Source organism: Homo sapiens, chromosome 8 (genome assembly GCF_000001405.40).
Source record: "Homo sapiens chromosome 8, GRCh38.p14 Primary Assembly".
Taxonomy (NCBI): domain Eukaryota; kingdom Metazoa; phylum Chordata; class Mammalia; order Primates; family Hominidae; genus Homo; species Homo sapiens.
The window spans coordinates 87,413,767-87,430,664 of NC_000008.11; the positions used below are offsets into that span (position 1 = coordinate 87,413,767).

The 16,898-nt window shown below is 36.4% G+C and overlaps 1 protein-coding gene across 1 annotated transcript in view, besides 1 other annotated feature; it reads left to right on the plus strand.

Moving 5' to 3' along the window:
- The window catches only part of CNBD1 (cyclic nucleotide binding domain containing 1), a 562,238-nt gene extending 547,352 nt beyond the window's left edge, over positions 1 to 14,886 (plus strand). Inside the window, exon 11 of the mRNA XM_017013149.2 lies at positions 14,780 to 14,886. Coding sequence (XP_016868638.1) covers positions 14,780 to 14,871 — 92 coding nt within the window. The 3' untranslated portion in view covers positions 14,872 to 14,886. The remainder of the gene's footprint in view (positions 1 to 14,779) is intronic.
- Positions 11,873 to 12,374: an enhancer, noted in NCBI's record as "H3K27ac hESC enhancer chr8:88437867-88438368 (GRCh37/hg19 assembly coordinates)". NCBI's record gives its function as "activates a minimal SCP1, AML or CMV promoter by ChIP-STARR-seq in primed H9 embryonic stem cells {active_cell/tissue: H9 hESC(primed)}" and the evidence as "EXISTENCE:reporter gene assay evidence [ECO:0000049][PMID:30033119]".
- Positions 14,887 to 16,898: the final 2,012 nt, after the last annotated feature.

Consider the following 16,898-nt stretch of genomic DNA (forward strand, 5'->3'; position numbering starts at 1 on the left):
AAAAATGCTCATCATCACTGGCCATCAGAGAAATGCAAATCAAAACCACAATGAGATACCATCTCACACCAGTTAGAATGGCAATCATTAAAAAGTCAGGAAACAACAGGTGCTGGAGAGGATGTGGAGAAATAGGAACACTTTTACACTGTTGGTGGGACTGTAAACTAGTTCAACCATTGTGGAAGTCAGTGTGGCGATTCCTCAGGGATCTAGAGCTAGAAATACCATTTGACCCAGCCATCCCATTACTGGGTATATACCCAAAGGATTATAAATCATGATACTATAAAGACACATGCACACATATGTTTATTGCGGCACTATTCACAATAGCAAAGACTTGGAACCAACCCAAATGTCCAACAATGATAGACTGGATTAAGAAAATGTGGCACATATACACCATGGAATACTATGCAGCCATAAAAAATGAAGAGTTCATGTCCTTTGTAGGGACATGGATGAAACTGGAAATCATCATTCTCAGCAAACTATCGCAAGGACAAAAAACCAAACACCACATGTTCTCACTCATAGGTGGGAATTGAACAATGAGAACCCATGGACACAGGAAGGGGAACATCACACTCCAGGGACTGTTGTGGGGTGGGGAGAGGTGGGAGGGATAGCATTAGGAGATATACCTAATGCTAAATGACAAGTTAATGGGTGCAGCACACCAACATGGCACATGTATACATATGTAACAAACCTGCACATTGTGCACATGTACCCTAAAACTTAAAGTATAATAATAAATAAAAAAAGAAATTAATATGTACTGGATATATGTGGGTGGAAGGTTAAGAAAGTAGGGGTTGGTTGGCATATGCTAATGCTACAACTTATATCATGTAACATATAATAACAATATATCTTCTTGTACTATTACCACAACTGTTAATTAATTAAACATTACTGGTTATCCTTGTTATGTATTTTTCTTTATAACTTTTAGTTTGTTTCAAAATTACTGGTGTGACTTGAAAACTAAAGTAAAAAACTTGTTATTTAAAAAGGATTTTTTTTACAATTTAGTATACATTATTTTTTATGCTATTTTGCAAGCTGCTTGAGGTATGTTGTTTGAATGGAGAATCCATCTTATGATAAACACAGAGCTTCACAGGCAGGATTTCCTTAAATGACTTACAGGTCTGACCTGGAACTGTTATTCCCCTCAGCCCTGAGAGAAATGGGTGGCTGGATGCTGCAGATATGTTTCTTCTGGCAGCAAGATAGCCAAAATGAAGGGGGACCTGCTCAGTGCCATTTCTGCAGATGGCAAGAAATGTGAGCAGTAGCTGGAACTCATTGCTGTATCACAAGGATCTGAGTGTATCCCCAAAGGTGCTTTACCACATGTACATTGATTTCTGCATTCTGCACCTGCTTTAGTGTATGTGGCATTAGTTTTCCCTGTAGTCGTTGTTCTCTCCAGAATTACTAAAGGAACTCTGAGAGCATATCAATTACTGGTACTCATACTCAGACTGTCTAATTCAGTAAGTCTAGGTTGAGTTCCAAGAATTTGTATTATTAAGAGTCCTAAGGTACTGCTGCTGCTGGTCTGAGCACTTTAGAACCACTGCCTCACAGAATGTTTTGGGTTCATAGGTTATTTCTGAAGATTGTCATATATTGCTCTGTGTTAGGCTCCTGAAATTTTATCTACTGGTGAAATTTCAAGTGTCCCTATCAAAGGAGCACTCTCAGAACATAGATATGCATCCTTGTAATTCTTTGAGCCTCATCATGACACTACAGTATTGTTTACTCTTCTCAGTGTTGAACAAGGCATGTTGAATGACTAGTTGTTGCAATTCCTGAAACTTGTCCTGGAAATCTAACTACACACTGGTTAAGCTTTCTTCTTCTCTTTCTATTTACTTATTTTCAAGACAGCATTAATGAGCATTCTAGATTCCTGTCCAAACTTCAAGAATTGAGAATTGTTTCCTTTCATAAAGGACTATGTTATTTAGATAAACCTCCTGCTTAAAAAGCTGTAAAAAGCTATATAAATTATCAAACGGGAATAATAAAAAGATGCAAGTAAGACAAATAGGGAAAATAGAAGTATATTACCTAAAGTGGAAAAATTAAAACCAAATAAGAATCAAAACAAATTTCAACTATATACTGCTTATAAGAAACAAATGACATAAAAATATTGGAAATAAAGTTTTTAAAAAAATCATATGGACATTAACAAAAAAAATTACATCCACACACACATACACACACAAAAATAGATTTCAAGGCGGAAAAAAGCTTTACTATAAATAAGTTGGAACACTTTCTCAATACAACAATGTTCTCAGAATTATATAACAATTTCATATTTGTATATTTTTAACAATATATCTTCAAACCAGATAAAGCAAAATTTGACAAAAACACACAAAAAATCCACAATTCTAATCAGGAATGTAATAAACCTCTTGCAATATATAATAGAATAAGAAGATAAAAATAAGTAGAAAGCTACCATCAGCAAAAATGACAAAATAAGGACCTTCAAACATTCTATTTTCTATGAAAGTGTGATAAGAACCAATGTTTTCAGTTATTTGCAAATTAACCAAGGCTTGCAGGAATCTGGAGAGCATTTATTCAAGAAAAGTGGATGAATGTGAGTGAGACCAATGAACTTTGTGGAGTTTTAGCTTGTCCTATAGCCACATTCCCTATCCAGCTCTGGGGAAGCCTTGAAAAACAACGGCTCCAATCATGGAGGAAACTGGAAGTGTGACAGTCACTGGAAAGACCAGAACAGGGTTGGAGACCCTTAAATGCCTCATTCCCAGACAAGCATCCTTCTCTTACATGTCTGGTCATTCTCTGGAAGATTCACCTTGGAAGTTTGTTGTTGTTATATGACTCAGTCCACCCAGTACAAAGCCTTTTTCCCAGGGGTGTTTGTTGAAAACAGTAAGAGGCAATTGTTTACACTGGGCACTCCTGAAGGCTGTGGATAAAAATTGAGGCAGATAATAGGGAACATTTTCCAATGCATTCTATGAGTATTACCAAAAACAGATGAAGATGTCACAAGATAAGAAAACTACAGATCAACATTTTATAAATATGGATGTAAAAATTCTCAACAAACTTAATTCTGCACCATGTAAAAAGGATTATAAACCATGTCCAAATAGAATTTATCCCAGAAATGCAGTCTGTATCTGAGGTTCAATATAATCCATGAATGTAATATCAAGTATTATTTCATAGTAATATGAATCATTGTAATACACTATGTTGATGGGATAAAGAACAAAACCCACTGTATTAGTCTGTTCTCATGCGTTTAAGAAAGACATACCAAAGACATAATTTATAAAGAAAAAGAGGTTTAATGGACTCACAGTTTCCACATGGCTGGGGAGGCCTCATAATCAAGGTGGAAGGTGAAGGAAAAGCAAAGGCACATCTTACATAGATGCAGGCAAGAGTGAATGTGGAGGGGAACTGCCCTTCATAAAACCATCAGATCTCATGAGGCCTATTCACTATCACAAGAACAGCACGGGAAAAGCTAGCCTCTACTGGGTCCCTCTCATGACATGTAGGGATTATGGGAGCTATAATTCAAGATGAGATTTGGGTGGGAACACAGCAAAACCATATTACCCACATGATCTCTTTGACGATAAAAAGTACTGACAGAACTGGAAATAAAAGGGAATTTCCTCAACCTGGTAAAAATCACCCCCTGGGAAATTTGGCAAGTAAATGGAAGAAAAGATATCCAGATTGGAATAGAATTAACATTACCTCTCACGTCTCTTTGCTGATGACATAATTGTGTATATAGAAAAATCCTACAAAATTTACATACACACAAAGCCAATTAATTATTTTGGCAATATTGCAATATGCATGATCAATATACAAAAATCAATTGTATTTCTATACACTAGCAAAGAACAGTCTAAAAATGAAATTAATAAAATTAATTTCATTTATGATAGTATCAATATACTTAGTAATTTGTATTTAAATCATACTGTATACTTAGTATCAATATTAGTATCAATATATGATAGTAACAATATACTTAGAAATATATTAAAAAATAAATGTTTAACTTGGATATGGAAAGCTACAGAATATTATTGAAATAAATTAGAGAAAACATAAATAGAAAGACATTGTATGTTTATGAATTGGAAGATTTACTATTGTTAAGATGGCAAAATTCTCTTAATTGATCTACAGATTTGCCATAATTCCTATTAAAATTCCTGCTCTCCGTTTTTGCAGAAATTGATAAACTAATCTTAAAATCAATATGAAAATACTAAGGACCCAGAACAGTCAACCATCTTGAAAAAGAATATGACACAAAGAGCACGCACACTTTCAGGGTATGCATCTGCATTAGTCATACTTGTGTGGTGCTGGTATAAGGATAGACATATGGGCTAATAGAATAATATAAGAGTCCAGAAATAAACCCACACATTTATGGTCAATTGATTTTCAACAAGAACACCAAGACAATTTCAACAAATCGTGCTGAGACAACCGAATATTCACATGCAAAATATGAATTTGGACCCCAATCTTATACCATGTAAAAAATTAAATAAAATGCATCAAAACCCTAAATTTAACAAGTCGAAAAATTCTTAGAAGGAAGCATAGATGTAAATGTTTATAACCTTGCACTAGGCAATGGTTTCCAGGATATAACACTTAAAGCACAAACAACCAAAGAAAGACTAGATAAACTGGACTTTATACAAATTAAAAACTTTTACGTTTCAAAGGACACTATCAAGAAAGTGAAAAGATGACCTACAAAAAAGGAAAAAGTATTCACAAATCACATATATGATTAGGATCTAGTTTCTAGAATATATTCAAAACTATTATACTTCAACAATAAAACAAAAATACCTTATTTAAAAATAGACAAATGATTTAAATACAAATTTCTTCAAAGTGGGAGAAAAACAAGTCATAAAACATTGTGATACCACTTTACATCCAATAGGATATCAAAATATAAAATATAGACAGTAATAAAAGTTGTGCATATGTGAAGAAATTGAAACCCTTATACATAGCTGATGAAAGTGTAAAATGATGCAGCTGTTTTGGAAAATACTTTGGCAGTCCTCAAAAAGCAAACCATTGACTTTTTATATGACTCAGCAATTCCACTTCTATGTATACACTAAAGAGAATTGAAAACATATGTCTGCACAAAAACTTTTACATGAATGTTCATAGCAGCATTACTCATAACAGTGCCAAAGTGTAAACAACCTGAATGTTCACCAACTGATGAAGAAAATATGGCATGTCCATATTATATGTATATATATATTCATTCATAAAAATTAATGAAGTACTGATTTATGCTACAAACAATAGATGAATCTTAAAATAACAAAGTCATTCACAAAAAGCTACATATTGTACGACTGCATTTGTGTAACATGTCTAGAATAGGCAAACATGTCTAGAATAGGCAAATCAGAGACACAGAAAGATTAGTGTTTGCTAGGATCTGAAAAGAAGTAGAGATGGAAAGTGAGTGATAATAGGTACAGTATTTATCTTCAGTATGAAAATGGTCTGGAATTAGATATGGTTCCACAGTTGTATGAATACACTGAAAACCACTAAACTGTACTGTTTAAAGGCGTGAATTTTATTGTGTGTATATCTTAATAAAAGACAATAAGAATGCATAAGATTTGGAGAAAATGTTGTTACATATTTATAGAAATTGTTCCTATGCCATAAAACTCATTTCAAAAAATTTCAAAAGATATAGTCATTCAGAATGTGTTGTATAGCCCAACAGTGGAGATCATCAGCAAAATCACAAGATAGCTCTGAAAAGAGTAATGAAATTGATACTGTAATCCCAGGAAGTCTTCACAATGTGAAATAGAGTATGTGACAAAGTTTGTCTATTGAATACACTGAATATTTAGTTTAAAATATTCCCACAAATGCCAATTCACTTTAAAGTATGAATTCCTGTGAATTCTATGAAAAATTTAAGGAAAACATGTCAATCCCACACAAACCCTTCTAAAGGACAAGAGAGAAAATGGTCCTAGAATTATTTAATTCGCCCATGGTAAACTTTATATTGAAACCTGATAAGGACTTTACAAAATAAGAAATTACTGGCCAACCTCATTAATAAAAATATATATTATATATATATTTATTATATGTAATATAGCAATATGTAAGTATATTGAATCCAGAAATATATAGAAAGCACTATACATAATGACCAAGTTTGATTTATTACAAAATGTAAGATTCATTTAACAATAACAAAGTGTTAATATACCTTACCACATTTACAGAATAAAAGATAGACATCATTTGATCATCACTTTTCAGACTCTTAGTTTTAATTTTTTTTGCTCAATGAACCCAGATACAATGTTATTTCTATCACTATCACTGAGGTTTCACAGCTTTGTGTAAGCACTATAATGAAAATATGTCAACTCTTGAGGGCATTCTTCTTTAGGAAAACCTGATAACAGCAGGACCTTTTAAATTACATCCTGTAGATCGATTTGACATTACTTTTTCAGCTGTCCTCCTGAGGTCTCTCGGAAGGTACAAAGAAAAGGAAACAATCATTCTTTTATGGCTATCATAATTACTGAAATGGAATCACATGGTATTTCTGCACCCTGTTTGCAAAAGCATGCCTCTTTGTTGAAATGTTGTGAGAAAAAAAGAGAAAAGTTTTATTACATGTCAAAGTTTGCTGATACTCGGAGATGACATCTTCCCACTTTGGATTCCTGTCACTTACAGTTACTTGAGGTAGAGAGAGACAACCCCATTTCAAATAAAATCTACCTACTTAACGACCACTCTCTTTCATGCTGCTATTATGCTTTTGCTATTTAAATATAATGTAATAATAATGCTTTAGGCACAACTGATTCCTAATTTTGTTTTACCTACATGTTACTTTCCCTGCTATAAATTGTTTGCTTGATTTTCTTCTTTTTTTTTTTTTGACAGTCGTTGGTATATTTATTTGAAAATTAACCTCATTAATTCATGGTCATATATCTTAACAATACAATAGAATTATAAGGCCATGTCTTATGATCCTTTTGTATCTCCCTCATAACATGTTACTGATCGTGGAGTAAGCTTTCAATAAATATTGAATTAAACTGATGACTGTTATAGAGACCTAGGCCAAACACAGGTTGGGAAAGATAAAATCAAGAATCAAAATTCTGGATAACAAAATCGGTGCAGATAGCAACTGAAAATGCTTCATAATTTTAAACATTTGGTTCTCAATAGTAGATAGATATTTTTTCAATATAGTTTGGGTTGTATTGATTCCAACAGTGTACTGGGAGCTGAGAACCAAATTTTACCTTATCTCTGCCTCTAAAATTAGGCAAGTTACATAATTCACTTAGTATCTCATTTTCCTTTTCTTTTTTATTTTTTTATTTATGTTCATTTTTTATTTTTTATTTATTTCTTTATTTTTTTATATTATACTTTAAGTTTTAGGGTACATGTGCACATTGTGCAGGTTAGTTACATAGGTATACATGTGCCATGCTGGTGTGCTGCACCCACTAACTCGTCATCTAGCATTAGGTATATCTCCCAATGCTCTCCCTCCCCCCCTCCCCCCACCCCACAACAGTCCCCAGAGTGTGATGTTCCCCTTCCTGTGTCCATGTGATCTCATTGTTCAATTCCCACCTATGAGTGAGAATATGCAGTGTTTGGTTTTTTGTTCTTGCGATAGTTTACTGAGAATGATGATTTCCGATTTCATCCATGTCCCTACAAAGGACATGAACTCATCATTTTTATGGCTGCATAGTATTCCACGGTGTATATGTGCCACATTTTCTTAATCCAGTCTATCATTGTTGGACATTTGGGTTGGTTCCAAGTCTTTGCTATTGTGAATAATGCCACAATAAACATACGTGTGCATGTGTCTTTATAGCAGCATGATTTATAGTCCTTTGGGTATATACCCAGTAATGGGATGGCTGGGTCAAATGGTATTTCTAGTTCTAGATCCCTGAGGAATCGCCACACTGACTTCCACAATGGTTGAACTAGTTTACAGTCCCACCAACAGTGTAAAAGTGTTCCTATTTCTCCACATCCTCTCCAGCACCTGTTGTTTCCTGACTTTTTAATGATCGCCATTCTAACTGGTATGAGATGGTATCTCATTGTGGTTTTGATTTGCATTTCTCTGATGGCCAGTGATGATGAGCATTTCTTCATGTGTTTTTTGGCTGCATAAATGTCTTTGTTTGAGAAGTGTCTGTTCATATCCTTCACCCACTTTTTGATGGGGCTGTTTGTTTTTTTCTTGTAAATTTGTTTGAGTTCATTGTAGATTCTGGATATTAGCCCTTTGTCAGATGAGTAGGTTGCAAAAATTTTTCCCATTTTGTAGGTTGCCTGTTCACTCTGATGGTAGTTTCTTTTGCTGTGCAGAAGCTCTTTAGTTTAATTAGATCCCATTTGTCAATTTTGTCTTTTGTTGCCATTGCTTTTGGTGTTTTAGACATGAAGTCCTTGCCCGTGCCTATGTCCTGAATGGTAATGCCTAGGTTTTCTTCCAGGGTTTTTATGGTTTAGGTCTAACGTTTAAGTCTTTAATCCATCTTGAATTGATTTTTGTATAAGGTGTAAGGAAGGGATTCAGTTTCAGCTTTCTACATATGGCTAGCCAGTTTTCCCAGCACCATTTATTAAATAGGGAATCCTTTCCCCATTGCTTGTTTTTCTCAGGTTTGTCAAAGATCAGATAGTTGCAGATATGCGGCGTTATTTCTGAGGGCTCTGTTTTGTTCCATTGATCTATAGCTCTGTTTAGGTACCAGTACCATGCTGTTTTGGTTACTGTAGCCTTGTAGTATAGTTTGAAGTCAGGTAGTGTGATGCCTCCAGCTTTGTTCTTTTGGCTTAGGATTGACTTGACGATGCGGGCTCTTTTTTGGTTCCATATGAACTTTAAAGTAGTTTTTCCCAATTCTGTGAAGAAAGGCATTGGTAGCTTGTTGGGGATGGCATTGAATCTGTAAATTACCTTGGGCAGTATGGCCATTTTCACGATACTGATTCTTCCTACCCATGAGCATGGAATGTTCTTCCGTTTGTTTGTATCCTCTTTTATTTCCTTGAGCAGCGGTTTGTAGTTCTCCTTGAAGAGGTCCTTCACATCCCTTGTAAGTTGGATTCCTAGGTATTTTATTCTCTTTGAAGCAATTGTGAAAGGGAGTTCACTCATGATTTGGCTCTCTGTTTGTCTGTTGTTGGTGTATAGGAATGCTTGTGATTTTTGCACATTGATTTTGTATCCTGAGACTTTGCTGAAGTTGCTTATCAGCTTTAAGGAGATTTTGGGCTGAGACGATGGGGTTTTCTAGATATACATTCATGTCATCTGCAAACAGGGACAATTTGACTTCCTCTTTTCCTAATTGAATACCCTTTATTTCCTTCTCCTGCCTAATTGCCCTGGCCAGAACTTCCAACACTATGTTGAATAGGAGTGGTGAGAGAGGGCATCCCTGTCTTGTGCCAGTTTTCAAAGGAAATGCTTCCAGTTTTTGCCCATTCAGTATGATATTGGCTGTGGGTTTGTCACAGATAGCTCTTATTATTTTGAAATATGTCCCATCAGTACCTACTTTATTGAGAGTTTTTAGCATGAAGGGTTGTTGAATTTTGTCAAAGGCCTTTTCTGCATCTATTGAGATAATCATGTGGTTTCTGTCTTTGGCTCTGTTTATATGCTGGATTACATTTATTGATTTGCGTATATTGAACCAGCCTTGCATCCCAGGGATGAAGCCCACTTGATCATGGTGGATAAGCTTTTTGATATGCTGCTGGATTCGGTTTGCCAGTATTTTATTGAGGATTTTTGCATCAATGTTCATCAAGGATATTGGTCTAAAATTCTCTTTTTTGGTTGTGTCTCTGCCCGGCTTTTGTATCAGAATGATGCTGGCCTCATAAAATGAGTTAGGGAGGATTCCCTCTTTTTCTATTGATTGGAATAATTTCAGAAGGAATGGTACCAGTTCCTCCTTGTACCTCTGGTAGAATTTGGCTGTGAAGCCATCTAGTCCTGGACTCTTTTTGGTTGGTAAGCTATTGATTATTGCCACAATTTCAGCTCCTGTTATTGGTCTATTCAGAGATTGAACTTCTTCCTGGTTTAGTCTTGGGAGAGTGTATGTGTCAAGGAATTTATCCATTTCTTCTAGATTTTCTAGTTTATTTGTGTAGAAGTGTTTGTAGTATTCTCTGATGGTAGTTTGTATTTCTGTGGGATTGGTGGTGATATCCCCTTTATCATTTTTTATTGCATCTATTTGACTCTTCTCCCTTTTTTCTTTATTAGTCTTGCTAGCGGTCTATCTATTTTGTTGATCCTTTCAAAATACCAGCTCCTGGATTCATTAATTTTTTGAAGGGTTTTTTGTGTCTCTATTTCCTTCAGTTCTGCTCTGATTTTAGTTACTTCTTGCCTTCTGCTAGCTTTTGAATGTGTTTGCTCGTGCTTTTCTAGTTCTTTTAATTGTGATGTTAGGGTGTCAATTTTGGATCTTTCCTGCTTTCTCTTGTGGGCATTTAGTGCTATAAGTTTCCCTCTACACACTGCTTTGAATGCGTCCCAGAGATTCTGGTATGTTGTGTCTTTGTTCTCACTGGTTTCAAAGAACATCTTTATTTCTGCCTTCATTTCGTTATGTACCCAGTAGTCATTCAGGAGCAGGTTGTTCAGTTTCCATGTAGTTGCGCGTTTTTGCTGAGATTCTTAATCCTGAGTTCTAGTTTGATTGCACTGTGGTCTGAGAGAGACCCTACAGAAGCTCTCTTCTGGCTTGTACGGTTTCTGCCAAGAGATCCGCTGTTAGTCTGATGGGCTTCCCTTTGAGGGGAACCTGACCTTTCTCTCTGGCTGCCCTTAACCTTTTTTCCTTCATTTCAACTTTGGTGAATCTGACAATTATGTGTCTTGGAGTTGCTCTTCTCCAGGAGTATCTTTGTGGCATTCTCTGTATTTCCTGAATCTGAACGTTGGCCTGCCTTGCTAGATTGGGGAAATTCTCCTGGATAATATCCTGCAGAGTGTTTTCCAACTTGGTTCCATTCTCCCCATGACTTTCAGGTACACCAATCAGACGTAGATTTGGTCTTTTCACATAGTCCCATATTTCTTGGAGGCTTTCCTCATTTCTTTTTATTCTTTTTTCTCTAAACTTTCCTTCTCGCTTCATTTCATTCATTTCATCTTCCATTGCTGATACCCTTTCTTCCAGTTGATCGCATCGGCTCCTGAGGCTTCTGCATTCTTCACGTAGTTCTCGGGCCTTGGTTTTCAGCTCCATCAGCTCCTTTAAACACTTCTCTGTATTGGTTATTCTAGTTATACATTCTTCTAAATTTTTTTCAAAGTTTTCAACTTCTTTGCCTTTGGTTTGAATGTCCTCCCGTAGCTCAGAGTAATTTGATCATCTGAAGCCTTCTTCTGTCAGCTCGTCAGTCATTCTCCGTCCAGCTTTGTTCCGTTGCTGGTGAGGAGCTGCGTTCCTTTGGAGGAGGAGAGGCGCTCTGATTTTTAGAGTTTCCAGTTTTTCTGTTCTGTTTTTTCTCCATCTTTGTGGTTTTATCTACTTTTGGTCTTTGATGATGGTGACGTACAGATGGGTTTTTGGTGTGGATGTCCTTTCTGTTTGTTAGTTTTCCTTCTAACACACAGGACCCTCAGCTGCAGGTCTGTTGGAGTACCCTGCAGTGTGAGGTGTCAGTGTGCCCCTGCTGGAGGGTGCCTCCCAGTTAGGCTGCTCGGGGGTCAGGGGTCAGGGACCCACTTGAGGAGGCAGTCTGCCCGTTCTCAGATCTCCAGCTGCGTGCTGGGAGAACCACTGCTCTCTTCAAAGCTGTCAGACAGGGACATTTAAGTCTGCAGAGGTTACTGCTGTCTTTTTGTTTGTCTGTGCCCTGCCCCCAGAGGTGGAGCCTACAGAGGCAGGCAGGCCTCCTTGAGCTGTGGTGGGCTCCACCCAGTTCGAGCTTCCCAGCTGCTTTGTTTACCTAATCAAGCCTGGGCAATGGCGGGCGCCCCTCCCCCAGCCTCACTGCTGCCTTGCAGTTTGATCTCAGACTGCTGTGCTAGCAATCAGCGAGACTCAGTGGGGCAGGACCCTCTGAGCCAGGTGCAGGATATAATCTCGTGGTGCACCGTTTTTTAAGCCCGTCGGAAAATCGCAGTATTTGGGTGGGAGTGAACGGATTCTCCAGGTGCCGTCCATCACCCCTTTCTTTGACTAGGAAAGGGAACTCCCTGAGCCCTTGTGCTTCCTGAGTGAGGCAATGCCTCGCCCTGCTTCAGCTGGCGCACGGTGCGCGCACCCACTGACCTGCGCCCGCTGTCTGGCACTCCCTAGTGAGATGAACCCGGTACCTCAGATGGAAATGCAGAAATCACCCGTCTTCTGCGTCGCTCAGGCTGGGAGCTGTAGACCGGAGCTGTTCCTATTCGGCCATCTTGGCTCTTCCCTGTTTGCTTGATTTTCTAAATTATTAAATGCAACATCATGATCGGAGTAATGTAAGGTTGGTATAAAAACTTGAATAATAATGCTAACATTTATTATGACAAAATGATGTTCCTACAGTTTCACAACCATAAAATTGAGAGAAATTCTGCACAATTCTGTGTTGTGCTTTATGTCAATTAAAAACAATAACAGAAACTTATAATGAGGTAATTATCCACTTTTACTTTTTTATCAAGCTACACAGAACTTAGCTAAAATCCTAGCAATGCCAATTGCTTAATTTTCCTGAGACATCAATTTCTCATTTGTAAAATTGTGGCGCGGCTACCTATCTGGTAGCAATTTCTGTGAGGACTACATGAAATAACGGCAATTGCAGATTCTGTGAGGTGGCACCTAGCACTTAGTGTGCATAATCAAATTTGAGTTTCCTTGGCTCACTTCTTTTACCAAAAAATTTCATTTGTGTATCCCATTGACAGACCCAAAAGGTACAGTTCCTTAATTGATTTAATTTGACCAGGGATATACCCTTAATCTAATATAAACAAATTTATAGGTGTGGATAAACCAATCATCCTTTCTCAATTAATAATATAAACTTTGTCAAATAATGGAGCCAACTGTTAGCTTCTTGAATAAAATCATGTAAACTTTGGCTTGGGGCTCCCATGTTTATTAGGTGTTATACAAGATGAGATTATGGAAGCATTGAACAGATAATGGAAGGGAAAACAAAGTCAGCAGCATGACAAGGACCTCGCAGTTCCCCCTGTAAAGAGCTAGCATCCTTCATTCCTGATATATGTGCTTTCAGACTCAATTCCCATTAGGCCATACCCTAAGAGTCTGCTACATTATCTTGTATGTCCTTTGAAACATACATCTTTTGTATGTTAGTTGGCTTGAATGTGTTCTACTCATTACAATCAAATGAGTTTGGGGTATAAAATTGTTTCACTGCTTTTAAAATTCTGTCATTTAGAGCAGTATGTATTAGTTTTCAAAATATTAAGTTACACCATGGCTTTTTATGAATATTGATTATTCAGTAGGCTGTATAAGATGGGCTAATAGGTTTACCGATATGTAGTCTGGCTTAAAACTGACATATTTACCTTAAAAGTATTAGCGCTTTCATCTATGTCTTGAATATTGAAGAAAAAATGTAATATGGAGATTACATAAGCCTAGGGAATAAAAATGATCAAAACAGTTTGCCCAACTATCTGAATGAGTTGTGCACAAAATACTATGGTCCTAAATTGAATTACTTGTTAATATTTATGTTTATATAAATAATTTAAAATGCTTTCATCACAAGTAAAAAGTGAAGTAGTTAAAGAATGAGGTTATTTTTGATTTCAAGTAAGAATAAACAAACTCTTCATTATGTCAGCAAAAATTTTGGCTCTTTCTGTGTTTTCACTCGTCTGTCTTCAGTGCATTGGCTGTAGTCCTTGGTTTTGTTTTTTCATGCATTCAAGATGCTGCTGCATGCTTTATAATTCAATAAAACCTCATCCATAACATAAAGGGCAGTTGGCCATCCTAGGTTGTTTTTGTCTCCTGGATCACAGACCTTCACCAAAGCCCCCCCAGCATACTTCCTTCTAAATCCTATTGGTTTGGTTTGGGTAGGGTAGCCTGATATACTCTCTTGTCTAAGCAGAATTATGAATGCTTTCTTTTTATTCTCATACATGCCCATACTTAAATAAGAAATTATCTACCTGCTCTTGGTTTGGGTAACATGCCTATATCTTAGGAGCATAAGATCCTCCCCCAACCAAAAAAAAGGCAAAAAAAGAAAAAAAAAAAGTCAGAAAAACAAAAACAAAAAACCCAAATATCTAGTGTTTCAGCCTCTGTCATGGAAAGTGAATCTGCCAGCGGATAAATGAATGGCTTTGAGGTAGAAAACCACTAATGTCTGCCACATGTTAAGTACTAAACAATTTCCAAATTCTGAATATAAAGTTGGACATTGTGTAAATTAGGCTAAATTACTGATGCTAAAATTTTATGGGTTGGTCTGGTTGTCTGAACTTAGAAGTACTAATGAATCAATTTAATTATTAGGGAAAATTTAATTTTGTCTACTATTTTGAAATATTGATAAAAATAGGATTAGCAATTGCTCTTTTTATGAAGATTATTTTTTTATGATATTCTAAGTGTTTTCTTCTGTTTTCATCTAGAATTAGACCCAGTGACCAAGCAACTTATGCTCCAAACAGCTAAACCAACTTTTGGCCATCTGACAGATGTAAGTAAAATGTTCAAGTTATAATAAATGTCACTCTTCATAGTAATTAAATGCAAATGTTTATTGTTTTTTAATAGCTAGTAGCCTTCCTATTAAGATAACTGTAATGTTATCTGCTCTAGAAAATAATGACATAAGACATTTGTAAATGTTTATGTAAATAAGACATTTGTAAATGGTGCATTAACCATCCACCTACTTATGTGCTTTAATTTTACTCTAAGGTACTATTTTTGGTAAAAGAGATATTTATAACATCCTTCAAAAACTTTCAGTCTGTGTCAACAAAATTACTCTTGTAATAAGCCTTACCTCAAAGAATTTTACATTTTTAAAGAGGAACATAAACATTTAAACAGATATTTCAAAGACCAGGGGTCACTTTTTTTTTTAGTTATAGTAGGTCCATTTTATATGAATAAAATATTGTAGTTTGAACAAATACACCTCATGCCAATCTCTATAAAATTCATATTAGAATATGCCCATAGAATGCATAAAGAACCACTATGCATTAGTTCATGCTAGAATATTTAATAATCTATACAAAAAAGTGACTAAAACTTTGAACAAGTTTTTAATATGATGAATATGAACAGCATTCAAGTCAATAGCTTCCATAGGAGTCTGGAGAAGCCCAGATGGCCTGATGGTATTGCTCCTCATGAAAAGAATGCAAAACCCAAATGGCCTCAGCTCTCATAGGCCATGTATATGGGTGGGTGTCTGTAAAAGGTGGCAGACTGTGATGTGTGATATAAGGATGTTAAAGAAGCCAAAAGGAGAAGGAAATGGATTGGCAGTGTACCCAAATAGGATCTGGGAGGAACAGAAATACCTAAAGGAGTTTTTAAAAGATTAAATTGTTTATAGTGTGGTGCTAAATGTCTCTGTCTCCTAACAAAATCCTTAGTGAAATCCATCTGACTCATTCTGATGTTTTCAGTGTTTCCTTATGGTTGAGTTTGAACACATGCTGAGTCTTCCTTTTTGACTAAAGTGTAGTGAGAACAGTATTTCCCCGAAAGGAGGCAACTTCAGGGTTAAAATTAGAGAGCTCATCTGATATTTGTGAATTAGGGTGCAGCTTTCAGTTGTCTTTTGGATTAAATCATCTTGATGAAAGTGCAATGAGTGTTTCCTTGCCATGGTTACCAAATGACACAAATCATGATGGTAGTTGGTGTGTGACCTCAAGAAGAGGGATGTTATAAGATGAGCATTTGCTAGTTTGTATCACAAAAATTGCATGTTCTCTGAATTTAAGTTCTAACTACTGACTCTGTTGGTACAAGTGGAACTTTGCCTGAGTCAACTGAGAGGGACAAGTTTGGAGTTGAGGGAAGATACTTTCTTTGTAGCTAAGCCATCAGACTGGGATAGGAAGCAATACTCCAAAAACGGATGTAGAAAATAGTCTCCTCAATTCCTTAGCTGGGAAAGGAGCTTAAGCCAGGAGTCAATGGAGCCCTGGCTATCTCAGGTAAATCTTCGATGTTGTCTTCCCCTTAAGATTTTTTTTTCTGGTGGGGAGGAAAGGAGAGGAAAACATGTTTTTTCTATAGGAAATGTAGCAGTGATAGATGTTACTCACCAGGATTAGTGGGGATAGGAAATGCTGAATAGGACTAACTGGCTAGAACTGCCACCCTCCTAAGAAACCTGGATTATTCCTTCCAGGGGTCCAGGCATAATGAGGATTGTGATGTATCAGGAGAGCAGACATTTGAAAGGCAGTGGAAAAAGCAAAATGAAGCAAGGAGAAAATCCTAGGTTGGAAGTGTGTCGAGAGATATGTAGAAGAAAATAGACATTTCTAATTAAATTCTTTTAAGCAGTTTGCAGTGTCAGTTTTGCAGTAAACCTTCTGTCTTCCTTCAAAGTCTTCAATTGCTCACTAATGATTTTGATTTAAATAGATTTATTTTTAAATTCTGAGTAGAAAAATGTGCCAACTCAAATTTTCAGTTTGGTGGAGGCAAGAACAGATGCCACATATTAAGCCAGCCACATCTGTGTTAAACCATGTAGCACACGAAAAATAAAAGGAA